General features: G+C 36.9%; 1 protein-coding gene across 12 annotated transcripts, besides 5 other annotated features; it reads right to left on the bottom strand.

The window, feature by feature from the left end:
* HSPH1 (heat shock protein family H (Hsp110) member 1) lies at window positions 1-27,416 on the bottom strand. 12 transcript variants are annotated; one of them, XM_011534887.4, is made up of 19 exons: window positions 27,010-27,416; window positions 23,834-23,891; window positions 20,542-20,682; window positions 19,661-19,783; window positions 17,880-17,979; window positions 16,637-16,770; window positions 15,975-16,219; window positions 14,982-15,210; window positions 13,402-13,508; window positions 12,987-13,120; window positions 10,591-10,796; window positions 8,820-8,951; window positions 6,150-6,287; window positions 5,212-5,337; window positions 4,028-4,135; window positions 3,809-3,928; window positions 3,435-3,596; window positions 2,396-2,552; window positions 1-2,145 (listed from the first exon to the last, which is right to left on the bottom strand). In XM_011534887.4, the coding sequence occupies exons 1-19, from the start codon at window positions 27,120-27,122 to the stop codon at window positions 2,117-2,119; spliced, it is 2,562 nt and encodes an 853-aa protein (XP_011533189.1). In that variant the 5' UTR covers window positions 27,123-27,416; the 3' UTR covers window positions 1-2,116. The 12 variants fall into 12 exon arrangements, with proteins under 12 accessions (XP_011533189.1, NP_001336633.1, XP_016875851.1 ...); NM_001349704.2 differs by lacking the exon at window positions 27,010-27,416 and adding an exon at window positions 26,504-26,932; XM_017020362.3 differs by lacking the exon at window positions 8,820-8,951.
* Window positions 26,026-26,571: an enhancer, noted in NCBI's record as "H3K27ac hESC enhancer chr13:31735135-31735680 (GRCh37/hg19 assembly coordinates)". NCBI's record gives its function as "activates a minimal SCP1, AML or CMV promoter by ChIP-STARR-seq in naive H9 embryonic stem cells {active_cell/tissue: H9 hESC(naive)}" and the evidence as "EXISTENCE:reporter gene assay evidence [ECO:0000049][PMID:30033119]".
* Window positions 26,572-27,117: an enhancer, noted in NCBI's record as "H3K27ac hESC enhancer chr13:31735681-31736226 (GRCh37/hg19 assembly coordinates)". NCBI's record gives its function as "activates a minimal SCP1, AML or CMV promoter by ChIP-STARR-seq in naive H9 embryonic stem cells {active_cell/tissue: H9 hESC(naive)}" and the evidence as "EXISTENCE:reporter gene assay evidence [ECO:0000049][PMID:30033119]".
* Window positions 26,729-26,808: an enhancer, noted in NCBI's record as "active region_7549". NCBI's record gives its function as "activates an Ori minimal core promoter by ATAC-STARR-seq in GM12878 lymphoblastoid cells {active_cell/tissue: GM12878}" and the evidence as "EXISTENCE:reporter gene assay evidence [ECO:0000049][PMID:35858748]".
* Window positions 26,939-27,058: an enhancer, noted in NCBI's record as "active region_7550". NCBI's record gives its function as "activates an Ori minimal core promoter by ATAC-STARR-seq in GM12878 lymphoblastoid cells {active_cell/tissue: GM12878}" and the evidence as "EXISTENCE:reporter gene assay evidence [ECO:0000049][PMID:35858748]".
* Window positions 27,289-27,558: an enhancer, noted in NCBI's record as "active region_7551". NCBI's record gives its function as "activates an Ori minimal core promoter by ATAC-STARR-seq in GM12878 lymphoblastoid cells {active_cell/tissue: GM12878}" and the evidence as "EXISTENCE:reporter gene assay evidence [ECO:0000049][PMID:35858748]".

Consider the following 27,637-nt stretch of genomic DNA (forward strand, 5'->3'; position numbering starts at 1 on the left):
TGTTATTAAAAATGGACGTTGTTTAGAAATATTGTCACAAAATGACAATTTAAAATGAATTGTAAAATTTAATCTTTAAACAGCATTTATTCAAACTGGTGCATATCTTTGAGATCCTCGATGATTACTAGGTATATATCACAACTGTTTGAGCCAATGATATTAATACGTTATTATAAAGTAATCAACATGACAATACTTTTGCCCGCATCCAAAAGCGCAGTACACTGATTTAGGCCAGACTGACTGATGCTCCCTCCCGTCATCAGGTTCTATTTTAGGACAGGAGGAAAAACATGTTTTCCCATTCACAGTTTTTAAAAATCTTTTTTAATGGATGTCCTAATTGTACACAGAACACAAACCTATCTTCACTTCTCAATGTGTAAATGTGTATCTACTAAGTATACATTAATGTGCATTAAAGACATTCAGAAAACATAAAAACCAAAGAAACATATTAACTGCATAAAAATTTAAAGTTGCTAAATGGTAAAGCAGCTAGAAATTATAAAGTAGGGAAATGTTGAATAGCTGACATAAAGATTCTTAGTAAGAACATTTTACATTCCAATATTACAAATGAGTACAATATGCAATGCATGAAAAATAAGCCAATTCTGAGATGTTGAAGCACCTATCAGACGTACAAATGACGAGCTACCTGGTCTAGATGGAATGAAGTGTTAGCTTTAAAATTTGAGTTAATTTAATAACTTACATCTTCACCCAGGAAGCATCAGAGCTGAGGAAATAAACCTCAGCAGTCAAGTGTTACTAAACCTCATAGTTTGAAGATATTACTCCGTGATGTGTGGAGCACAGAGTAGCTAAATAGTACTTATAATAAATTGGCTATAGTTCTAAGATTAATCCCTTGTGGAAGAGGGAAAGTTGGCCCTCATCAAGATCATAAATGGCTGGGCATGGTGGCTCACACCATGTAATCCCAGCACTTTGGGAGGCTGAGGCAGACAGATTGCTTGAGCCCAGGAGTTCAAGACGAACTTGGGCAACATAGCGAAACCCCAGCTCTACCAAAAAAAAAAAAAGAATAAACTGTTGCACCCTAGTGAGGAGCTGGTTGTCACCTATCCTAAGTGCATGTGTCTTCTCCCCTACCTCCAACACTACTTCAATTTTGTGCTTACAAAACAACCAGATAGATTCATTGCAGCATTATTTAGAACAGCAAAAATGAGAAACACCTAAATCTACCAATAGCAAGATTGGTATTTTTAAGTACGTCTTTATAATGAACTCACTACATTTATGCAGTTACAACACTTGACTGTATTTACTAATTTCCCTGGCACAGAGTTTTTAAAAACAGCCTACAGCACTATAACATAGACACTCACACAAATATACCCCCATCATTAGGGGTAAAAGGCTCCAAGGATGTATAACGAAGTGTTAACAATGTTTTCTTCTGGGTGGCAAGATTTTAAGTTTTATTCACTTTATAGTATTTTTAAAATGCTTTAATGTAATAAACATATGCTATTTTTCTGTCAGGAGAAAAACATTTTCACTTAGAAAAGAGAGAACATAAGCAGTAAAAAAGAAAAACTGGACACTAACTTCATTTCTGCTAGAATAATTCATATTCTCCCTCATCTCATTTTTTAAATTAGTGACAAAATCAACAGTTTAGAAATGACACCATAAGATGAACTTTATTTTAAAGCTCATAAAAGTGTTCACAATCAGTTACAACAGGATCGACATTTCTTCCATTCCACACTTTCACATGACAATATACTGTATAGTGAGAGAGAAAGTTTAAAGTTTTTGTTCTGCATGCTGCTAACACATTTGACTAGCTTTTGTTTTACTCATTGAATTTTTAATATCAAAGCAAAAAGTCATTTTCTCTTGGACAGAAATGGTTTTAGAAAGCCCTTATGAAGTCAGACTTAGTCTTGTTTATAAACATCCACACCCACACACATGCTGAATGGAGAGCAAAATGCAAGAAAACTACCTTGGCAGGAACAAATGCTTAAAGATTTTAATCACAGCCCTCTTGAACAAGCAGTACAGTTTTTTTTCTCCAAAAGACAAAAGTCAGTTTCATCCTCAGTGATGCAAATGGTGAGACTGCACAGAAAGCTTAGTATGAATTCACAATTCCACAGGAATCTGAAAGTTACCAAGGCAATTTTCCCTTTTAGGATCATAAAGACTACAGACTTAAGCTTTTTTTCTTTTTCCATATAATACACAAAATTTCTAAATATCCTTAAAAAAGAAAATATAAATAGTTTCAGTATGTTATGTAGAGTCACATACTATGGCAAAAATATTTTATTAATTGAAGGAATAGGCCAATTTAAGGTTATCTAGTCCAAGTCCATATTAACAGAATTTTTCTCATTAGGGTAACATTCACCATTCTGATGTGGAGGTTCAGCACCAAAATTGTTTTTGTCTTCTAAATCTTCTTCCTTTTTATCAATATTTGGGCCATTTGGAGTTCTTTCCAGTTTGGGTGATTCAATTTTTGGTTTCGGTTGTGTTACAACGGGTTCACATGTGTTGTTCAATTCCTAAAGAAAACAAAAACTAGTTATCAGATTAACTCAGATCCATCCAGTTCATTTTCAACTGCTTCTCCACATACTCAACCCACTATTTTTCTACCAACTCCAATTACACATAAAATAATTACATTTTCTCATTACACTTGCCCCAAACCACAGTTTACATTCTGACCAAAATAGAGTATTAATATTCTTCCAGGATGTGTTAGGACTATGTACTTACATATATTCCTTCAATCCTCACAACAGTGTTAAAAGACAGAAATTATAATCTCCACTTCATGGAAGACAATGGTTCAAAGAGGTTAAGTAACTTCAAGATCAGGAAAACTAGTGAGGAAAGAGCTAGAATTCAAGTTTACAGCTTGAAACTGACAGTGCTTAAAAGGGTCACTTTTCCTTGACCTTCACTGTGTTTGAACATTACTCCAGAAGAACACTTTTCCCAGTTTCCTTCCAGCCTCACATACAACAAGACCTAGAATTTCCTAACCCCTTTTTCCTTACTTTGTTTCCCTATAGCACTTAACATCTCTGATAGATGACACAGGCTTGTTTACTGTTGGTCTCCCTCCCATTACAAGATGAGTTCCATAAGGGCAGAGACTACACTTTGCACACTTGTTTAATCCTGAGAACAAGGACTGGTACATGACAGGTGCTCAACAAATACACTTGTTGAAATGAATGAATAAATGGAGAAGTGGAAATTCAACAAACTTATGAGGTCTTCTGTATTTTGTGACAGAATAATAGACTAAGAAAAGCTGGTTTCAGTTAGGATGAGGTAAAAGATTTACAGGAAAAATGGCTATGTTGAAGGTTCAAATGATTGCAACTTGAGTCCGTAAGTGAACCCAGCAGTAAACACGAGACAGTAACACTCACCTTGATTTTTGTTTTAATTTCCTGAGCACGTACAACTGGATCCTGATCAAGACTCTTTTTAGCCTGAGCATTCATGACATTATTCATCCATTCCATCACTTCATTAACAGACTTCTCCACTTTTTTCATTTCAGACTCATCAATATGGTTGTATTTCTCATCCTGAACAAAAATAACACGGTCATTCTGTAGAATTTATTGAACAATAGTATCTCATTTGACTCAACTTTCCAGGAAGCTCAAGTTCAAATCTACCTCTAACCTCAAATACCAAAATTTCAAAGTTAAGACTATTCATGATGATTCCCAGCTTAAGTGTTAGCTTATTAAAATCTAGGTTAACTTCCTCCCTATGTACAAAAAGACTGACTCACCTTATTTCTGAAGTCAGCTGCTATCTTGGCATAATGCTGCAGCCTCTGTCCTAGTTCTTCAAACATTTTTGGCCGTTCTTCAGCTTCCTGAAACCGAACTTTAACTGGAGTGCCAATTTTCTAAAATAAAATGTAATAAATTAATAGTTATCATAATTTTATTTTAAAGTCTATAGTTTAAAACACAAGTACCACCTTTTGGGGGAGAAAACGACCTACCATTAATTCTTCCAACTTGTCAACATATGCTTGTTTAGCTTGGTCCTCTCCTTCTTCATACAGCCAGTCTTCAGTTTCTGTGAGGAGTCTCAAAAAATTTTGATGATCCTTAACACAAAATATGACAATATTAGTGGCACTCGTACTTCAGAATTTTTCACAACAAAACAAAGAGGTATTCTCACACTAGGTAGCTAATCTTATCTAGGAAGGCACTCTGATTTGGCTTCTCTGCCTTGTTACACAGAGACCTTGAAAATGGCTCTCATTGACTTAAAATATTTTATCTTAGAAGCCCAATCTGTACAATGAAATGTGGTTTCTAGAAGAGTATCTTCCTGCTCTCCAAAAAATAAAACCAGGTCTTAGTAACTTTTTGTTGACTTACACAACTATCAAATGCTGAAGGGGAAGCTATACAAATTGACAATCACTGAACACATGAAAAAATCATTCCTAACCGGTTCATGTATGGTATGACTTCTACTGTAGCCCTGGGAGGTCCTACCTGGTTCGGTCATCTCAACTTTAGAGATCCCACCATAAGAAACTCAGAGAATGTCAGGACAGAGCTAAGAACTGAATTACATTACAAGGTAGCCCAGAGACCTTAGAACTATTAATAAAACAGACTCCAAATTTCACTTTAAATGACCCGTAACTAAATCCTAGATTTTTATCTAGTCAGTTTCTTTTTTTCCAAGTCCTATCTTTCACAGTTGTGCTTCTGGGATTTACTCACAGCCATACTAACTGGGAGTCAAGAAAAGGGATAAGGGGAATAACGGGGCTTAGTAAGCTCTGGAATTACTGGATGAACACATCTTATGAGATGAAACAATGACAGGAACGCTACCAAGGCAGCAGTGTCACCGCATTTGACGTTTTTAAAAGCGAAGATTTTTCTCGTATTTATCCTAGACCCTATGACAGTAATGCCATAGACTCTACATAAATATTTGATAGGTTCTCTCTTCTAGATGGTAAAAATGAAGAGTTTTGGGGGTAGGCTAGTACAAAATAAAACTGCTCATCAGCAACAAGCCTTTCTCCATAACTTTGTTTTCTGTTTCTAAAAAGTTTAAGTTACATAATTGAGTAAAAGCTTAAGCCTCAACTGTCAATTTTGATATTAAACACTTCATATGAGACTATCTGAACAAAAACAGAGCTCTAAGACATACCTGCTCACATATAAATTTTTCATATGGTCCACACAGCTTGTCTCTGAACTCATACACATATTCCTCAACTGCATTTTTAGCATCATTCCTTTCTTTTTCCAATTTATCTTGCATTATCATCTTACCCTGTCAGGAAACAGGAAAGGTTAATTCCAGTCTTCTAGTTAACTCAAGCTAAATTCTAAATATGTAGACTCTGGGGTTTAAAAAAAATGATACAAAACAAATTTTAGTGTTAACACAGTTCCAACTTATACCTTGTCAAACTCTTCCTACAAACCAAACAGACATTTCCATTTTCTAAATACTCAGGCTGAAGTTTGATTTTTTTAACATTGTAACCGATTACACAGACTTCATATTTAATGCTAAAAAAAAAAAAAAAAAATCAAGCTACTGCTTAAATGTAATTTTGTTTTCTTGTATACAAATGGTTATCCATATTCAGATTAATACTGGCCAATGTATAACAGTCACACCACTCTGCCACATTTTTAAATCAAAGATAAATAAATGGACTACAGTTTATTGTTAAATAAACTCCTAAATACGATGTTCCCACCTCAGTATGGAAAAACCAAATCTCAATTATTTCACATATTATTCTAGAATTTCAGACTACTAAAAAAATACAATGTATTCTAATAGAAATATTTAGTGTGCCGTGAAATTCCAACTGTACTGTGCTCTGTTATGATTTATTGCCATCCAATTTTTTCACAAGAACTCAGCCAATCATGTTATATCAAGCAGAAAGATTTTTTTGTTAAAAAAAATTAAACTGCAAAATTCGTTAGTTTTGTCTTCATCCTATCCCTAAAACTATATAAAACTTGGGATGAGAAAGAATTATGGCCATTTATCTACTAGAAATATAGATATCAGGGCCAAGAAACTAAACATATTTCAAAATAAAAATATTTAATTGAAGTACTTACCTCTGTCTCAATATACATGTTAAGAAGGTCTTTCCCTAACTGCCAGACCAAGTTGGCTTCAATAGGCAGCTCAACATTCACCACCTTTATTTTGGGCTTTTTAGCTTCTGGAGGCTGGTCAACTTTTTTTTCATTTGCCTTGGGAAGAGGAATAAAAAAAGGAAAAAATTTTAAACAACCCACTTGGAAAAACACAAAAAAAATGTCCTCATACTTACTGATGACTTGGGCAAAAATAAAATCTCTAAAAATCATAAAGTTGGAAGGATCTACAGGATCACCTAATTCCCACTATTTTAAATCAGGGCTGCTATTAAATATGCCATACCTTCCTTCAGGAATTCACTGGGATATTTTTCTCTTCTATATTGAACAATCTCTCCTGCTAAAGCTTTTCTTCGCAAGTCTTTACTTTCTAAGCCCTTTAAATATTCTTGTAAATCCCATGAGTCAAAAAGTGAAAATTACTAAATTATCTTTATAGACTCTAGAACCTGTCACCTAAGGATAAGCTTCGACCAGTACAAAACACGTTAGGATCATCTTAATTCCTGTAATATTAAAGGCCCTATATGCCAGTATGCCTGCTTTAATTACAACTAGCACTATGCTGATGAGTGCCTTTTAAAATTTCCTTATTGAACTTGGAGTACATATATATATACTCCATACACATACATACACACACACACACACACACACACACACATTATTACTATCCACCTTTGAATTGTATCATTTCTCATAAGCAACTTTGCAAGGTAAAAAGAGATGAGTCTTAAAGTAGCAAATGGACTGATGTGACACATGCCAATCATTTATGTAGGTTTTTCAAAATATGTAAATACAGGGCTAAAGAAGTAAGTATCTCCTGTGGCCTTCAATTTTCCAAGCCTTTGCTATGCATTTCCATTTCTGCAGGTTCCTACTAATACAAAAATGACAAAGAACACAACTGAGCAGACTCAGTTGTATGACAGATCAGATGACAACCACAGTGTGTAACATGTATCCTGTAGGTAGGATGGTAAAACGGGAAGAGACTGGCCCATGAGGCACAATAATCATAGCCATAGATAATTTTGAGGAGTTACAATGGATTAAAAATCTTAGGCACTTTATCGAAGAAACTGGGTCTAGAAAGTTCAATGACTTGCCTAAAATTAAAGAGATGGAATTAGATCCCACGTTCCAGAGACTGATCTCAGTGTTCCTTAGAAATCACCTATCAAGTGCCATAAGCTGTATCACTACGGATGAGCTAGGCAGTCAGCCTACAGTCCTCCCCACATCATTTTCCTGCTAGTGCACACAATCCTTCAATACATTATGCATGCTCTGAGGGCATGAGCCACAGGAAAGAAAAATGAATCCAATCAAACATACACCTAGGAAGACACTGGAGAGCAACAGATGTTGGGAAACAAATGGATAACAGCACATGTACGGAAGTTAAATGAAGACAAGACAACCTGATAGTACCCAATTAAACCAACTACTGACAAAACCAGCATCACAAAATGGCATTTCAACATGGAATGGATGAGGAACCGTCTCCAAAGGGGTGAGTAATCATGCTCCAAAAGGTTTGAGACTAGTGGTCCTACCTACAACTAAGGAGCATGAATGAGATCCTACCCAATGTCATGTTCTAGACAGGTACTAAGACTATCGGCAAGAGTTGATGTGTATGCTCATCCCAAGTCAAGGAGTGTGCTGTTGAAACTAAGCATCTATTTTTCCAAATAACCACCATCATCACACAACTTAACAGTAGAAAACAGAGAGCAGCTTTCAGAAATCAGAGTCAGGACCCATAGCTCACATTGGGAGCCCCCAGGATCAATGAGGGGACAGAAAAATTAAAAACTGGAAACTTTTACATAGTATAGAAACCTATCCTGACCCAATGAAAGATTCTGTAATTTGCCTGAGGATAAAAAACTCTACCCTCAGAATATAAGAGAAACCAAACAACCAAGAGCAGGCTAATTATTTACATGTAACTTGTACAGAAAATAAAGTTCTACAAAACATACGGTGATTCATAGTTAACAACAGAAATTTTTCAATATCCTTCTGACCATGAATCTTAAAGGTTTGATTACAAACTGTCATTTTCCAAGGCACACAACATCACTATTTAAGTTAGCTTCCAATACCTACTGTGGAAGCAGGACAAAAAAATAATTACCTTGAAGTGCAATCTGGTTATTACCAGATCACCATAATTAATTTACTTAAATTTGACCGATGGCTTGAGAGGAGAAAGTTTACTAGACTCCTATAGCCCATATATTTATCATCTGATTAGTTCAAGTGAAAACTAATCATGTAGCCCTGGTAAATATCAAGTTCTGCCTTTGGTATTAGAAGATACCTCTGCTCTTTGAAAGACAACGAACAGTATACATTAGTCTCTTGTTACTTCGAGTGGCAGTTAATCAAGAGAAGCTTTTAAAAGTTTAAAGCAGGACATTCAATTCCCTTAATTGAGCTTGAATACCTCTAACTGGTTTTAGTTGAAAAATACATAGAAAATCAACAGAAAAAAATCCTACACAGAACGAAATCAATTGGTGCTTGCTCTTGAAACTGCAATTTAATGATATCATTAATGATTACACTTTGCAACATTGTCTAATGGAATGAACTAGAAGAGTCACTCACTTTGTCAGCATCTGGGATTTTGTTTTCTTCTGAGGTAAGTTCAGGTGAAGGGGGAGACTGTGAGGTTTGTTGAGCATCAGTTTGTACCTGGGGCTGTGTTCCAGCTTCACTGTTGTCTTGCTGGACATTTTTCTGAAATGAAAGCCCAGGCACAAAGGATGTAGAAAGCAGGTGTACTTGTATAAATTTTTAAAGTTAAAGGGCACCAAAGAAAGTACACTCAATTTCTGAAATCTTAACAGGTGGGGAGAAAAGGTACTGGATAAAAACAAAATGAACAAAGTACTTGAAAACTTCTGTAGAAATTCTAAACCTGTAAAAAAATTCTTTGAATGACAGTAGTTAATATCGTTAAATAACACAAGTAAGCATTTAATTGATGTGATGACAATCAAGAATCAAGAACTCTCCCTTAGGAAGCTCATCTAAGTTAGTACAGATATTAATTCTCTAAGGCACTGGAAATAGATTACTCCAGGCCTCTTTCCTAGAAACAAGCTTCCAAAACCTATTTTACCAGCAGCCATCATGGATCTCAACATATCTCCATTTCAATTTACTAAACAGTTACATAAAATGGCCAATTATCAGTTATTTCGGGATTCATCACTTCAGCTTATAGACAGCCAAGACTCACTCTGTCCCCACTTTCTGTGATCCAGCTATTTATACCTTAAAAGATCTCAGAGTAAAGAATAAATGCTACACATTAACAATCCTAATTAAAAATTTGGTAAAGAAAAAGAAGAATGAACCCTAGAGTTTCCTAATTTTCTTTTTTAGTAGCCCTCAATCCCTAATATATTAGTGCTTGCTTGATCTTTACCCATCTTTGGAAGAGGGCTGAAATACTCTAGGTTAACTACTTTCTGTCCACACTGAACTCTCTCATATTTTTCTTCTAAGGTCAAGATTCTAAGATAGACACTGAAGTATTTAGAAACAAGGCATTCCTGATATCCAAAAGGTACTAAAGAGATTGAGAAAGTATATGGCACTCATCATTTAACCCATTACTGTACATTAGAATTTTTCTAGATGAGAATAAAACTACGGTTCAGAATGTTTATGTTGCTTAGATGTTCTAGAAAGGTAACAGTGATCACTAGATAACGCACTTTCTCACATCTTAACTAAAACACCACACTGCCTCCCTCTTAAGCTATTTCTAGTTATTCCCTAGAAATAAACTGTAATTATTGTAATACTTTAGCTTCCTAAAATTCTTCTGTTGACCACACAGAACTAGCACTCATGCTAATGATGAATAACAACTCTTACTATACGCTACACAGACACTTCTCTTCCTTCCTCCCACCATACAGAAAACCATGTAAAAATAAAAACAAGTTCTAAAATATCAAAGCCAATTTTGCCATACAATTTAAAAAACTTTAATATTTGGTAGCTATTTCAAACAGTTTTTGTAGCAGTCTGTTTTTTAAGTTTCTTAAACGTCAGTCAACATTCGACTTCTCAATGTGTGGTCTATGTCTTCAAAAAACCAAAAAACTCCCAACTCAATAAAACATCATCTACTCTGTCATATACTAGTTACTTCAAATTAAGTTACACAGAATTTAGTCACAATTCACCAAATTTCAAGCTGTGTATTACCACTAACCGGCAAGCGCTATTATCATTACCTAAAATTCTGATCAAAATTATTCATGAAGGAAAACATTCATTTTAACCCTTCCCTACCCAATTCTCCTATAGCTTAGAACTAAGTCAACTCTATTCAAACACAAAGGTTTATCCACAAACTTACATCAGTGTCTGGGTTTTCTGGTGGTCTCTGATTCAGACACTCCATGTCAGCTTCAGAAGACATTTCATTCTCCTCAGTTGGGACTTTCTCCACCATAGATGCCGTAGAGATGGTGAAAATGCCATGGGTGTTGACTCGCACTTTGACTTTTACTCTAGATTTTTCTCCATCTTTCTGTGCAGAAACATTCTGAACTACAAAGCGGCCTAGAACAACAACAACAAAAATCACAAAATCACAATTTATTTAGAATTAAGTCTAAATCTCTGTAGAGGAGGCCAGGTGGGTGGTTCATGTCTGTAATCCCAGCACTTTGGGAGGCCGTGGTGGGTCACTTGAGCCCAAGAGTTTGAGACCAGCCTGGGCAAGATAGTGAGATCTGTCTCTACAAAAAAAATACAAATTAAAAAAATGAATAATAAATTAGCCGAGCACAGTGGCATGCGCCTGTAGTCCCAGCTACTCAGGAGTCTGAGGCGGGAGGACTCCTTGAGCCCAAGAGTTCAAGGTAGCATTGAGCTATGATCACATCACTGCACTTCAGCCTGGTGACAAAGTGAGACCGTGTCTCTTAATAAATCAATAAAAATCTATCTGTGTAAAGGAGACAGATAAGAAAAATACAAAGGCTAAAAAAATAACACTTGAGAACTGCTATTGTAAAATCTTCTACCTAGTCTTTACCAAATTGAAGTCCTCTAATATATACTATAACTATGACCTCTTAAAATATATACACTTGAAATTAATCTTAGCATGCCATAAAAACTTTCAAAGGTAAGGGCACTCTTATAACTATTTTAACACTAGGCAAACACTGAATCTAAGATACTGATAACAAGCAGTCCTTGTCTCCTCCTACCCTACTTCTCCAGATGGGTGAGCACAAACTGGACATGAAAATTTGTTTGCAAGCATAAGGAAGATGATAGCAAGCACATGCTGAATTTTAATCCTATAACCTTTTAAAGAGTACCATTCTCTTGGTTAAATAATCAAAACATTTAGCTGTTTTAAATAAGGGAGGTGAGCCAAAATCTGTATGAAAGCCTGAAATTATTATGTACAATACAGTGGGGTTCCAGAACATTACTAATGGTTAAAAGTGTAGACTTTAATCCAGACTGTCTGGGCTTGAATCCTGGCTGTGTGACCTGTTACAAAAGTTACCTTTCTATACCTCTGAGGATTAAGTACAGTGAGCACTTACTACAGAACCAAGTGCTAGGTGTAAGTTATAGCCACAAGTAAGTACTGTTACTCCAGAGACCACTGAGTCAAAAATAAGTATTTTGAACCTATTATGTGCAAAGCTCTAAATGGAATTTAACTGCCTAGTATTTAAAGTGCTGTCTATATAAACACACAGAACTATAGATTTAATTACAATGTCACTGAAAGATGAAGGAATACACCTTGATTAATTGTCAAATCAGTAGTTCAGGAAATATTTGCCAAAAGATCCATCTATCTAAAGAAACAGCATTTACTCTGGAAAGTGGGATGTAAGATGGCTCAAGCATGTACGACGTTTTCAGTTTCAATCAAACATGAAAAATTAGATGCCATGCCAAAGAGCTGGGATTTTATCTTCCACACAGTAACGAGTTAATGCACAGATTCCAATTTATCAAAATCTTACAAGTCTACATGCAATGATTTCTTTTCCTAAAAATAAATTCATGAAAACTGTTTTTAACAATACACCACAACTCTGGGTCAGAACATTTTAGCCTTTAAAGTAGTAAGAAAGAAAACACAACTGATCAGGTTGGACTCCTTCAAACAATTTATTTATGAAAAGGTGTGAGGCAAGGGTACGTCCTGAAAAGACCTAGCAATATTGGCAAATTTCACCTATGGTCTGGGAAAGAGAGTTACTATGGGTAAAAGTAGATGGATGGTGTCAAGTGTCCCCCCAAAATATGTACCAAAAAAAACTTATCTTTAGAAAAGATAACACAAAGGTACACTTGAGAAGTAGATTCACAATGGTCGCTGACTCAGGTTTTAAATTAGAAGTAACAGACTGCAAATTACACTTAATCTAGAGAAAAAGTTAGTATTAAAAGCACGGATAATCCTTTATATACAGACTGTATCAGAACAGTGAAAATATTAAAGTGTTCATATATATATACACACACACATACTTTTAAGTAACAGCAGAACTCCAAGTAACAGAACTACCAAGTCATTCTATCTCTAGACCAGCTGACTCCTCAATAAAATGAAGATATTTCTCCATCACCATTATTCTAAACAGAAAATGTCTTCACACAGAATTATGTTCCCCTCAACATTACTAAGAATAAGACAACTTTTAAAGTTTGTACAATGAGTGAGAAGCTAAGTCTTTAACTAAAAGAGTAAAATATACACAATGAACTCCTTACCTATTTTTGCTTCTGGATATGGAACTCCTTGGGGATCAGAATAGAAAGCTTCTAGCTCAAAAGGCCCCCTTCTCAGAAAGGTGAGAACTTTGGAGAAAGGAGCAGCATGGTTTCGACTAAAGACTTCATGAACACTAGAGAGAAAAGAAAAAGGCATTCAGCAGATGAAGAACTTAAAATATGCTTACTGTGCTACACAAACAGAAAAGAGGCTTTCTAAAATCTTTATCAATTCTATCTCATCATTTACAATACCAAAATGAGAGAAATATTTTGGTAGATTTGGTTGTTCAAAGATTCCAGGTAAATTAATGACTACTAGAGAAGTCATTTGTTAATGACTCTACTAGAGAAGTCATTTGTTAATTTTTCTTCTTTACATTATAGTATCTGAATGTTATTTTCTGCTACATACCCTTCAGTATCTTCTGAATCATGGTTCCAGATCAGAGATATTGGAAAAGGAACTGCATCTGTGACGGAAAATTCTCTAACTTTAAATGCCGGGGAAAGTATTGCACACTTAAAAAAAAAAAAAAAAATCATGAGCACATGAACACTTCCCAGTCATCTTTTAATATAAAACTCAATTCCAATGGATGGACAGGGTTTTCAAAAAAAAAAAAAAAAAACAACTCACATTCCAGAATTGTTTCCAGTATATTTCATCTAAACAAAGAATTTATTTTACCATCTAAATACTATGCCAATTACTAGGTACAAAGACAAATAATATATCTTAGGATAACGACAATTAATCAATAACAGGTTTCACAGGGGATTAGGAAAAAAGCCTGGTCTTTCTAGAAATGCCTTGCTGATAGCAATTTCAAATTGTATCACTTTTGAATATGTATAATACATACATACATGAACAGTTCTGTCTACACTGCTTTCCAAATGTCTGAGAAACCCCCCAAAGGGCCATAATGTTCATATTTTTAAGTAATTTTGTAAATGAAGCAAGCAATGGTAAATTCAAATTTGGGAAAGGCAACACCCAACAGATAGGTGGACAATTCCCTATTTAGACAGGACATATAAAAATAACTAAATAGATGATTAAGCTAAATAGACCAAAAAAGTCAATTCATCATTTACTATAGGATCCTTCAAAAGAGAGGCCAAAATTAGCTCTACTTCTGAAGAAAATATAAACTTCCATCATTTGAAGGAATCAGTTAATTAAGGAGGCATATTCCATTATGAAGAAAAAAGCAAAAACAAAAACCCCATAGAACAGGATGGATAATACAATGGATTATTATTAATATTTAGTATCTACATATTCTTCCTTTTATAAGTATACAAAGGCAGTCAGTCACTCTAAATACCTTTGTTTACAGAATCCTGTTTCATATTTTAAAAACTGCTACTAGCTTAAAACTCAAATGTTAACTTGAAACTTTATTTAAAACTATATTTAGATCTTGACTATAATATCCTAAATATAAACTAATTATTTTCTTTTTTTAACCGAATAACTTCTAGATTTGGTGTTTTTCACCAAACTAACTTCATGCTTCTGGGCTGCCTTTTTATCTGATAAGCAGATTAAAAATCAATTTGGGGATAAGAGAGGGTTATCTATTTTCTAAAACCATTTGTTAATATTTCTAACACCCTGAAAACTTCCCCTAAATCAATTCCTTATTATATCAGATTACCACTGTAATTCCCTGTGTGCTTTTTAAGTAACAACTGCCACTACTACACAGCTAATTAGTGTTTCAGCTGTGTTTTCTGTGATATCCTCAGAATCATGCCTGTTTTTGATTTCCAGCTTGAGAAACACCAGCTTGGTAGTTCTTTCAATTGAAATTTACTGGATCTTTTAGATTTGAGTAGCCTTATCTCCCTACAGCTTTACGGGTTTGTTTAAAATGTCCTTCTGCTACCTAGACACAGGTCTCTGTTTATTATCCCACCATGACGACATCCAGTGGAAACTGTTTAAAGACTGTACACCAAGCAAAAGCAGAGTTGAGAAAGTACCTGTAATGCACATCCTCTGGCTACTGCTTCATCTGCATTGAGTGTTGTGCTAATATCTTTTCCAAAGAATTTGGCAATTCTTTCCTTCACAGCTGGAATTCGTGTAGCGCCTCCAACAATCTCAACTGCACTCACATCTTCTACTTTGAGATGAGTTTGTTCCAACAGTGAATAAAGGGGTACTTCTATCTTTTGCAGAAGTTCAGCACAGAGTTCTTCAAATTGTGACCTTAGCAAATAAAAACTTGTTTTTAGAAAAGTTAAGACCAATATCCTGTCCTACTTTTGACAACCCAATGAATTTCATTATTTTCCCCCTCAGACACCTTGGATCCCACATGGGCCAAGTTTAGCTGTATTGTAGTTTATAGCTCTTTTGTTTTTGATAAATACACCAAACAGGTGCAGAAAGATGATGCGGAAGACAGTTCTCCTGGTATTACTCAAACAAATCATTTTACATGCTTATGACTGCCATTTTACCTTCTAAAATTTTTCCCCCTGACACAGAGTCTTGCTGAGTGCAGTGGCACAATCATAGCTCACTGGAGCCTCAAATTCCTGGGCTCAAGGGATCCTCCCACCTCAGCCTCCTGAAAAGTTGTGACCATAGGCATGTACCACCATGCAGCCCTTCTAAATGTTTTGATCTGATTCCATTACTTTCAATGGTTATTTCCAGTCCCTGCACAGTATCTCTGTGAAACGAGTTTTCAATTACTGGCCCAGAAATACTAAAAAGTGAAAATACCACGAAGACTTGAGGGTAGTACTTAGACCCATGAGAGTACTTAGCAAAGGTATTTTTAAAAGCCCTCTTCACATAAGTGCCCCTAGAGCTAGTGGTGATAAACAACAGCATCTCCAGCCACAGGCATGTAACACACAATTCTGAAATGTAGGCCAAGACTCACAACACCCACTAGAACTGACACCTGGGCTACAGTTTCAAAAGAAGTTCCATCTATTTAATCTGTAGAATTCAAGACACACCTGTTCATCTTTCCGGAAACATCTTTATCATTCATAAAGCATTCGATATTCAGTGGAAGGTCTGTGCTGTTAGAGCTCATTAGCTTTTTCAGTTTTTCACATTCCTGATACAGACGTAGGAGTGCTCGTATTTTGGATTTTGCATCCAACTTGTACTTAGTTTTAAATTCTGCACAAAAATGTTCCACTAACTTTTCATCGAAGTTTTTTCCTCCTAAGAAAGGATCAAAAGCTGTTCCCAGTACCTAATTTGGTTGAAACAACAAATAGTCTGGTTATTTTCAATCACATTTGTAACTAGAATCTTAAATATTACTACTCAAACAATGAAAGACTAAGAGACTCAAGACTATATTTAAATTATAACATGAAATCCAAATCAGTCAGGAATAAATCTCTAAGATATTTTTGACTTTTAAATGACTACATAGAAAATAACTGTAAAAAGCCTTTTCTTTCCTAAACAAGAACACTTAAGAGTATGCTAAGACAATTACATCATCTTTATGGAGCTCAACCTTAGCAACCGTTTCCTGTTAACATCTTTACCTAAAATAAAACTCTTCATTACCAAGAAGAAAAAGCCTAGTAAAGAGGCTCAGTAGCTTAAAGTCACAACACTTAACGTGTTTTGGACACTGAGTTCCAATGTATGACTTTACCTTCAATTTTCCCTTGTTAAAAGCACAAGCAGACACTTGAAAAGCTGAATGTCCCATATCAACAAAAACCACTATCCGAGGTTTCTCATCCAGGCTTGGGAGATCCTGCTTATAAATTCCGTAATTCAAAGCAACTACAAAAAATAAGTATGTTTCAATTCTTTGGTTCACATTTTCTTAGGAATCTCACTGTTACATAAAATTACACATGCAGGAAGCTTGACTATTAACTTGAAACAATTAAAGGTGAACACATTACATTCCTTTTATACCTGACTTCACACTGATTTTCTTGGAATTAATTATTACTCTCTTTCTGATTTCAGAACAATGCTCTATCACTTTTCAATATATGGAGATGTGCTAGACAAAACATATGGCGTGAATACAGTGAAACATAACCACGTATCACAGACAGTATCAGACTCATTATGCAATACTTACATTTTAACCACAACCTGCTAGGACACCGCTTATCCAAAAAAATTAAGAATTTAATATACAACTACAGCAACTATAGTTCCTACCAATTTTTAGATCTGAGCTAAATAGCTGATCAACCTTAAAAAGTTTTTTTCTGAACTTTAAACAACTGTATTTCTAAACATGTATACCTAAAAACATATTTTTACCAATATTTAACAGTTTTCCAAAAACCTAACAGAAATATGAGTAAAACTTTTCAGCATAAAAACTGATTTTTTTCCTTAACTGATTTTTTGTTCATCTGTAATCATAATAAACTACCAAAAGCTCAAGAAAGAGATGCTGTAATCACCTCTGTATATCCACAATACCTAGCCTAACACATTCAAATAGTACAGGCTTAAAGCAATATTTGATAAATGATCACCTATCTACAGTTCAGTAGATAAAAAAAAATTTTTTAAACTAAATCATTTACTTATAAGCCAAGGTAGTTTTGAAGCCCAGAATTTTAAGATTGTGGGAAAAATTGCTTCCTAACTATAAATGCAATGTAAGGAAACAAAGCTAAATCCAACCTACATTTTCAAAGGATTAAAAAACATGAAAAGAATTCTCTAATGAAAGCAGATTCATAAGTTTGATAAAATACCAATTTCTCATTAACCATAAGCATTTTAAGAGGTAGACTTTTGTTTTCAAATCTGACTTGACTTTTTAACAGGCTGTGTTTCTGTATCTATAAGAAAGTAATAGCACTGAGAACATCTTTAGTTCTGATAGTATATTCACTTCCACACAAATGCCTTTTCCTTACCAGCTGTCATGTCATTCATAAGTCTTAAACAGTTTAGGCCAACAATCTGTGCAGCATCTAACACAGATCGCCTCTCAGCATCTGTAAAGAAGGAGGGGACCTACAAACAAACAAAAAATTTTGAATTATCTAGAACACAAAATATACTTAGAAATTCCTCACAAACCACTTATAAATTCACAACAGTCCAGCTAAGTAGGTGCCTCGCCAAGTCACAAAACAGAAATAGGGCTTTAGTTTTCTGCAAGCTCCTTAACCTTCAGAAACAGTAACTACTTTTGAAAAGGCTGTCCCAAAATTACAGGATCAAAATAGTCTTTCTTATAACCAAGTTCAAGCTGAAATAAAAATTAATCAGGAGTTTCATAAGACATATTCAAAGTTACATAAATCTAAGAGAAAACTTGAAATTAAAGCAGATCAAATCTGCTTCCAAACTAGTTGTAAGTTTCTACTGGCATTAGGAAATTATAATGCTAGGTCAACATTTAATGTTCAACATAATTAAACTATAGGTAAAAACTACAGGAACTTAAAGAGCTAATTCTAACATATGCCACCACCCTTTCAGTTCTGCTATTCACTGAGGTGCTCTTTAATTCAGTCAACCTGTTAAGATTACAAAATCACTTTTTGGCAAAGCCTTTCAATTTTCCTAAGAGTAAAAACAACCCAAGGGCTGAGGTTTCTTACAGCACTGACTTGAGCTATTCTAGTTGTAATTCTTTTTTGACTGCCTTCTAGTGCAGCACTTCAGGATACTATTCAGGAAAAAAAGTATCTAACAACACATTCGTAGAATCATTTAAGTGCAAAGTACCTAAGAGAGAGTTTAGTACGGTGATTTTTCAAAGTTGTCCAAAATATTTGTAGATGCTTGAGAGAGAGACATGAGCAAGAGCAAAGGTGGATCTCTGCTCACCTTTCAAATCAGAACACTTCGTCCATCAGTTTCTCAGCTCACCAGGGGAAAAAAAATGTGGCAAAAAAAAAAAAAAGGAAGGGAGAGAGTGGGGAGGGAGAAGCCACTGACTTATAACTTAATTCTTTAATTTTGCCAGAGATTAAAACACTTCCCATCTTGCAAGGACAGCAGGAGAAATGTTAGTTCTTCTGCCTCATTCATTCATAAAGGCTTGTTGCTGACTGATCTCAGCCGGCCACGTTGCTCATACTATAGAGCAAAGACCATGCTGTATTTAAGTCCAAAAGCATACCCCACAACCTATCAAGAAGTGACCCAAGACACCTGGGTGAGCAGAATTTACCTTTTTGGTGTCCAAATAAAAGATGACTTTTGTCCATTTCAAGTACCCTTTGATAGTCTAACTAGTAATTGTCCACTGAAGGTAACAGGCTTGCTAGTGTTAAAAATTTAGGTTTTGTCACTACTGGTAAGCTACGTTTTAAAACTCCTAATACACTGGTTTCTCAACGGAGGGTAGAATTCTTTCACCTGTGAAAAGCTCCTGTGTTAAATGTACAAGCCTGATAGTGCAGCAACTAACTGTATTAGAATACTCACAAATGGAACCAGTCAAAATCTGTATTTTCAAAAAGTCTCACAAGAGATTTTGATTTCCAGTCAAGAACCTTTGCCGCTTCTGGCTAAAAATATCACTCAAATCTACTTTGTAATGCTCTGGAACACATGTTAATACAGTCCAGTAGAACACGGTCTCTAGTAACTAAAGAACAGCTTTCCCACATTTCATACTTAAAAGTAATACAAAGAACGCAAAAATGAAATAAAACACACTGCCTTGCTGAATTATACTTACTGAAATAACACAATCTGTTACTGGTTTCTTGAGGCTGTTTTCAGCAGTTTCCTTCAGCTTAGTCAACAACATGGCTGTTATCTGCTCCACACTAAATAGATGTTCTTCACCCATGTACATTACCTATATTGAAGGGAAAAAATGTTTTAAACATTGTAGTACTTTAAGCTACATGCCAATATTTAACTTCCAAAAATTAGCACACATTCCCTTCCACAAAATCTTTATTTTATTGTTGTAGTTGTTTTGGGAAGAAGGAAGAAAAGGAGGAAAAAGGGAAGGGGAAGGAGGGAAGGGGGAGAGAAAGGAAAAGAGAAAAAAAGAAAAAGGAAGAAAGAACTTCTACCTAAAGATGAAGAGGAGCGGAAGAAAGCTAGGGCAGATATACCCCACCCAAAATCTAAGTCAAAACATTAAAGAAGGTAGTAAATTTCCACTCTAACTGAAGAGATGAATCACTAGGATAAATATTATTGTGTGTTGATCACAAGACAGGAATACCTCTGCAAGTTTAAAAAAAGATTCCTGGTGTTACTACACTATTGCTCTCCAAACAACTGCAACTGGGCTGTCTCAGAACAGACTTTTGTTTGATACATGAACACAATGTCGATTTTTTTTCCAACATCAAATAAACCTAAATTTTACAATTGCCAAAAAGTCAGAAGAAACACAAATTAAGTTATAGCATATATATTACCATTTGAATAATATTCAAAGACAATTTAGCGTCTATCTACTATACTTTAAAAGGAGCTGAATAAAAAAAGAACAAAAAGACCACCTGGTGTAATTAAGAAATTTAAGTAATAACTCAAATAAGTTCGTATTTTTAAGTATTAATAAGTTGGTATTTTTCTAAGGTTGCTCAATTATATTACCTTTATTCCAACTCCACCATTTTTCAATGGAACCAAATCGTAACTCAAGTTTTCCTTCTCCTTTTGAATGAAGGGGTCATTGAATGCTCGGCCATGAAATCTTTTGAAGTTAGACACCGTATTGTTTGCATGAGTGATTTGCTGCAAAAAGAAGTTTGAGATTTTAATTTTTTTCTTTAATTTCACCACCTACCAGTAATTTTAGTAATTTTATTTATTCACTTTACAACTCAAACCAATCCTATGAGTGCACATAAGTTGCCCTGAGGCCCACCAATTTCACTGAATTTCCCATCTATGAACAGATTTTATTTATACTTTTTCCTTCTCCTATAGAAAATGCCAGAAAGTAAGCAGCAAGAGGGAACAAGAGGCAAAATAGTGTGACGACAGACTTTAAAGATTTCAAAATCTGCAAGATAAACTCAAAGACAGTGAAAACTATCACTAAAGCTCTGAACAAACACACTAGAATTTTATCACTGTTTCATTCCTTTTTTTCCCTGCTAAACTTGTGAGGTTTTATACCCAATGAATGAATAGATCTAGTAGCACTATAGCCAAATTATAATTTTGTTTAAAAAAGTTAATTTTTGGCCAGGCGCGGTGGCTCACGCCTGTAATCCCAGCACTTTGGGAGGCCAAGGCGGGTGGATCACGAGGTCAGGAGATGGAGACCATCCTGGCTAACACGGTGAAACCCCGTCTCTACTAAAAATACAAAAAATTAGCCGGGCGTGGTTGCGGGCACCTGCAGTCCCAGCTACTCGGGAGGCTGAGGCAGGAGAATGGCATGAACCCAGGAGGCGGAGCTTGCAGTGAGCCAAGATCGTGTCACTGCACTCCAGCCTGGGCGACAGAGCGAGATTCCGTCTCAAAACAAAAAAAAAAGTTAATTTTTATAGCTGGGCATGGCAGCACATGCCTGTAATCCCAGCTAATTGAGAGGCTGAGGCAGGAGAATCGCTGGAACCTGGGAGGCAGAAGTTGCAGTGAGCCAAGATAGTGCCATTGCACTCTAGCTTGGGTAACAAGGGTGAAACTCATTCTCAAAAAAAAAAAAAATTAAAGTTAATTTTTATAGTCTAATAAATTGCTAAGCGGCCAGGATAAACACTCTGTGCCAGAAAATGCATGGATCGCTACCTTTCCTAGCAATAGCATGAAATGCTAGTTATCTACACCAAAAAGTAGAAGGCAGAAGAGTAATTCAACAAGTTTCTAAGTGACCTAATGTTTTCAACTGCATGTGCGTATTCTGAAGACTTGAGAGCCATGGTTTTTAAAAACAAGAAATTGAACTGCTATCTTACACAACTGGCGCACGTTTGTTAAACTGTTGTAAAAGATGGTGTTTTTTTAATCCACCGTTTTGGTCAAATATTTTAGGTAAACTCTAGATTGAAAAGCCCCACTTCAGAGCACATTTCACTCAAGGGTACCTCATTTGAAACAAGAAATAACTGTAAGATTGAAAACTAAGACTTCTGAAATTATTAGCTTAAAAATACCAAAACAGTATATTATTTACTTTTTCTCTTACCTAATTTTTTGAATAAAGGGAAGAATACAGTTAGCTTGGCAGTACTAGTTTTCAAACAATATAGAATTCAAGCAAGTTTAGGTCTTAAAATTCCTTATGTGTCTAAAACTGAGATGAAGTATGTCTAGTAGTATACTGGCCAAATATGAGTCTCAACAGATTCTTCTCAAGTAATCACAAGGATGCAACAGAATTTTAGGTCTAGGCTATCAATATCCTCAATGGGCACATTTAAAGGATTGTTACAACTAAAGTCCCACTATCCTTTTGAACATATTTTGAGTGTGCCTATTTCTCCTTTCCTTTTTCACCCCTTTTAGTTATCTCTCTCTTCCAATGTAACAAGGAAATAAAGTTAAATCCAACCTACATATTCAAAGGATTAGAAAACATGAAACCATTTTCTAATGAAAGCAGATTCATAAGTTTGATAAAGTGCCAATTTCTTATTAAACATAAGCATTTTAAGAGATGTTTTTGTTTTCAAATCTGACCTGATTTTTTAATAGGTCAGTACTAAATACATTCCATAATATATAATACAGTACTCAATCTAATCCAAAATTTTCTTTCTTAGCAATCTATTTTCTGTATTTAGAAAAATGTTTTTTATTTCAAAGAGCCTCTCAAAGAGCATTTCACGTATCTTTTACTGTTTTTCTCTCCACCTCCAAGGGGTCTGTCTAGATCAGTGCTGTTCAACAGAATTATATGTAAGTCATAAAGGAGAGCTACCTACATAAAATTTTGTAGCAGCCACGTTAAAAACTGGTAAGAGATTAGATTAATTTCAATTAACTTAGGCCAATATATTTTAGGAACTATCACTTCAATAAGTAGTCAACAGAAAAAAATTGATCAGATACCGTACTTTACTTTTCAATTCGATTAAAAAGTAAAAAATCTCATGTGTATTTTATACTTCACATTTTGATTCAGACGAGCCACATTTCAAATGCTCAATACAGTACATGGCTACCATATTTTTTAAACAGCACAGGTCTGGACAAAAATTTCTCCCAGTCCTACCTTAATTACTAAGTAACCTGAAAATGCTTTTAAACACATAATTTCTTAGAAGTTCCTTCTATAAAAGGAATCTCTTAAATGAGTATCACGAGAAACTTCACAAGAACTTAAAATGCCTTGTTTATAATTTCTAAAAATTAGATAAATGAAAGGCAGCAAAAAGTTACTAAAAGTTAAAGTCAGCAGGCCAGGCGTAGGCTCACACCTGTAATCCCAGCACTTTGGGAGGCTGAGACAGATGGATCACGAGCTCAGGAGTTCGAGATCAGTCTGACCAACATGGTGAAACCCCATCTCCACTAAAAATACAAAAACTAGCTGGGCGTGGTGACACGCGCCTGTAATCCCACCTACTCAGGAGGCTGAGGCAGGAGAATCGCTTTAACCCGGGAGGCGGAGGTTGCAGTGAGCCGAGATCGCGCCACTGCACTCTAGCCTGGGTAACAGAGCGAGACTCTATCTCAAAAAAAAAAAAAAAAAAAAAAAAAGTTAAGGATGGCAGATTAGAAAGTTAAAGTCGATCTTAATAAAACAAGGGAAAGGGAACAGAAAGGAAAGAGTGTCATCATCTGAAGGTTCATAAAGAATACTTGAATTACATTTTTAAAACTCAAAAATACATAAACTTAGGCACACTTTACCCTCTTATATGTCTCTTGAGATTTTCCTTTTAAAAACTCCCCCCTTAAAAAGTGATCCGAATTCTCTTAAAGAACATACCTGATTTTTGGCTGCAACTCCGATTGTTCTATTTTTTGATCCAAATGATATGACTGACCTAGAAAAAAATATATTCCAAAAAATTAAAAAGCATAAAGGTTGATATTTTAAACTGATAAGAGAAAAATACTAACATAAATGTCCTACCCATTAGGGGATAGGGAACAAGCATAGCACAATTTTAAGGTCTATAGCTTTCATCAGATACTCAAAGGGGGCTTCCACTTAATTGCTGCTCTGAGATCCAACCTAGGTGGCAGTTCTACTACCCCAAAAACCTCTGCTCGTGGCTCAGGAATTCTCCAGGTTCCAGTTATTATGAACCGAACATTAACTTTGAAAATGTTTTAAATATGTTAACGGTATTATTAATTTGACCCTACACACGACTAACAAAAAATAGGATGTGACTCTACCTTTCAGTCACCAACTCTGTACAAATCTAAATGTCATTGTCATACCGACTTTTGTTCTGATATACCACCGGCTTCTTTAGGAATCAAAAGTTTTTATGCAAACGCAAGCAAATGAACCCAAGTTACACCTCTGAAGTTTAAAGAGCACAAAGAGGTTCCCATCTGGGAGATTCTGCCGGAGAAAGAAAAAAATGATGCACAACAAGTACCATGGCAAAACAGAATATAAATGTCGAGGGAAAGGAGTGACTAATCAGTTACATCAAATCTGTTTTGAAGAGATGGAAAGTGACTTACAACTGTGAAACAACCTTCTCAGCCACCATGGAAATGGAACCGCACAATAACAGAGCAGAGACTAGCTTAAAAAGTCTTGTGAGAAGAAGGTAAGTGAATTAGGTTTTGGATTAGAGGAGTTATCTAATTCTGGATTACTAATTCAAATATAATCTAATTTTGGGTGAGTTACTCCTACCTGCTTAGGTATGAGTAATGGTAAACGAGATGAGCAAAACGGGAAAATACTGAGGGCATTAAGTACCACCCTTAAGTTTAAATTTGCTATAATAGAAACATCCTCAAACTATATTATCTGAGCAAGTGTTAAATAAAATAGCATCCTAAAAGCCAGAGAAGTGTCCAAGCAGAAGCTAGACAAGAAACCGTCAAAATCAGAGCATCACTGTAAGCTCTGAATAACCATACACTTGCAGAATGGATCTACTCATTTTCCTAGGGGAGAATCAAATTAATTGTACTAAATAACAATTAGTAGCTGATACAATAGAATCCACCACAATTATAGTTTAACAAACATATTAAGGGGAACTCCAATACTGCCCTCAGTTCACATTTTTCAGGGCCATACCTGTTGTCTTTGATTTCACACAGTAGTCCCTGTATAACACAATTTTTTTTCCCACTCTCTTCTCTGAAAAGCTTTTCTTTGTTTTATTGGATCAACCAGAACAAAGTATAAACTGTATCTAGGCATGAAAGCCTGAAATACTGTTTTCTTTCTTACTAAACTCCAATTAAAAAAACCTTAACCAAAACACAAACTTAGATCTGCAGGGGTAGACGTACAGGTTGCTCAGAACAGTCTTCCTAACGTTACTAACATTGCCAAATATTTTGCCTCAGATTTTCCACTCAACTTTCATAAACGTTCTCAGCACCCAAATAATTGTATTACCCCAGTCATTCATTCTACCTTTAGGTTCAATGTTTTCATTTTGCACTTTTCATCCTGAGCTTGGGACATTTGAAAAAAATTAATAGGTACAGTATTTTCCTTGAGATGAAATCATTTGTTTTCATCAATGCACATGCAGATATGTTTGTATATATTCTCGTCCGAAAATATCCCTTCACGAAACTTGCTTTTTAAAATGTTGCCCTTTGCCCACCCTATGCTCCTATAGAATATTTAGTTCAGTGACGACATCCATCCTCTTTTGGCGTCCTAGCACAAAAGTATGCAATTTTTATTCTCTTTTAAATAAACTGTGCAAAATTAATTTTAAAAATACGGTTTACAATTCCTCATGAATGGCAAAGAGCAAAAAAAAAGACGTTTACATCTTTCGACAATGATCCCGGGCATTAAGGCCAACAATGTTAGCAACGAAGAGACTGGGTAAAAAGAGGTGGGCTAATCTTTCATAGGACTGCTTCCGTGGTCGCTAACAACAATCCGCCTGCTCACTGGACAAGCAGCGACACAAGCTCTGGAAGCTTCCAGTTCATTTCGAGATTCACAATGCGGAAGAAAAAGGCCGGCAGCCCCGCTCCGCGGTGCGCAAAGATATGCGCGAAGGGAGGAGGACAAGCTGGAGGCGGCTCAGCCAGCTCAGAGAGGCCGGGTGGGGATACGGGGGCGGCCGCGGAAGGCGCAGGCTGCAGCCTGCCAAGAAAAGGGAGCGAAGTTGCGGGCTTTGCCGCAGCCCGACCCCCAGTAGGTTTTGAAAACCCCCAATAGGAAGCCCGCACAAGGTGACGACCCTTAGAGTCTCGACTCTGGGACTCCTCTCACCCCCGTGAATCCCTGAGACAATCCCTTCTCCAATTTGTGATGGCAAGCCCCCCATCCCTCCTCTGGCCGGGTCGCTGGTCCCTAGTTCCACGGAGGGGTGCGCCGCTGCCCAAACGCCTCCGTTTGCCGCGGTGATCCGTACAGCCAGCCCGCGATCTTGGGTCCCCACACTAAGGGCCCAGAACCTCCTCCCATCCACCCTCGCAGACTCCCACTTACGGGGTGCACCGGTCGCTGAACTCATTGGCGATGGTCTCGATGCCCCCGGCCCGGGCTACCGCGATGTAGCAGCTCTGCGAGCCCACGTCCAACCCCACCACCGACATGGCCGGCTCGCGGTCCGCCTCCGCCTCGGGTCTCGGTCTGCGTCCTCCGGCCCCCTGCCTGCTTCTCCTGCCGCCGCTTTCTGCCCTGGCCGCGTTCTGCTCCGGCCCGCGGGGTCTGGCCGTTCCTCTGACACTCAGAAGGACACACAGACAGCCGCGGCCTGTCAGGAGCCTCCTACTCCCCCGGGGACAGCGGCGGCTGGCTGATAAGAAACCCTGGGAGAAAGCGGGGCTCAGCCTCCGCAGGTCGCTCCGCACCTCGGGTTGCCTGCCTCACTCTGCCGCGGCTCGCACACCGGCGCCGGCGCTGAACTACCGACCCAAAAGGGGAGGTCCCACTTCCTCAGCCTTATGTATCGCACTGATCAGAACTTTCCAGAATCTGCGGCATTTACTCACCGGCGCCTCCACCGGCCCCTCCACGTGCCACTTCCGCTTCCTTCTTCTCGAGCCTTCTGGAAAGATTCTACCCAATGGGCAGCCGGTCCCCGGAGAACGGCCGCCGTTGCCATGGCAGCGACAGGGCCGCTCCCGTGCCATTGGCTCAAACCTGCCTCCGCCCACTCCCGCCCTAGCCACAGGCGTTTTGCTGCCCTAATAAAACAGGCAACGAAGAATGACTCCAAAACTCGGAATAGTCACAATTTACTACCGGGAGGTGGTGTCCGATCCTTAACGCTAAAGGGAGGCTGGGCGGGCGGAGACAGACCCCATTTTTGCAGAGACCCCAGACACCGGGATGGTGGGGAGGCCGGCCAGCTGTCCGGAGAGCATGTTGGGAATCGTAGTCCCGCTGGGAGAAGTGTGCGCCTTGCATGCTGGGATGTGTAGTCCTGGCCGCAGTGCTTGCTGGGACCCGGCTTTGTCTTCTGGGACTCGCGAGAGAGGCTGGGTAGGGTTTTGTCTGGCGCTTTTGCGCGGGTTCCCTGGCAATAAGCGTCATTTTGTTCGTTTGTTTTGTATTCACTTCTATTATTGTCTGGATTACCCCGACAACTGGTGCGTTACGACTTAGGAGAAGGAACAC

Source organism: Homo sapiens, chromosome 13 (genome assembly GCF_000001405.40).
Source record: "Homo sapiens chromosome 13, GRCh38.p14 Primary Assembly".
NCBI classification, from domain to species: Eukaryota; Metazoa; Chordata; class Mammalia; order Primates; family Hominidae; genus Homo; species Homo sapiens.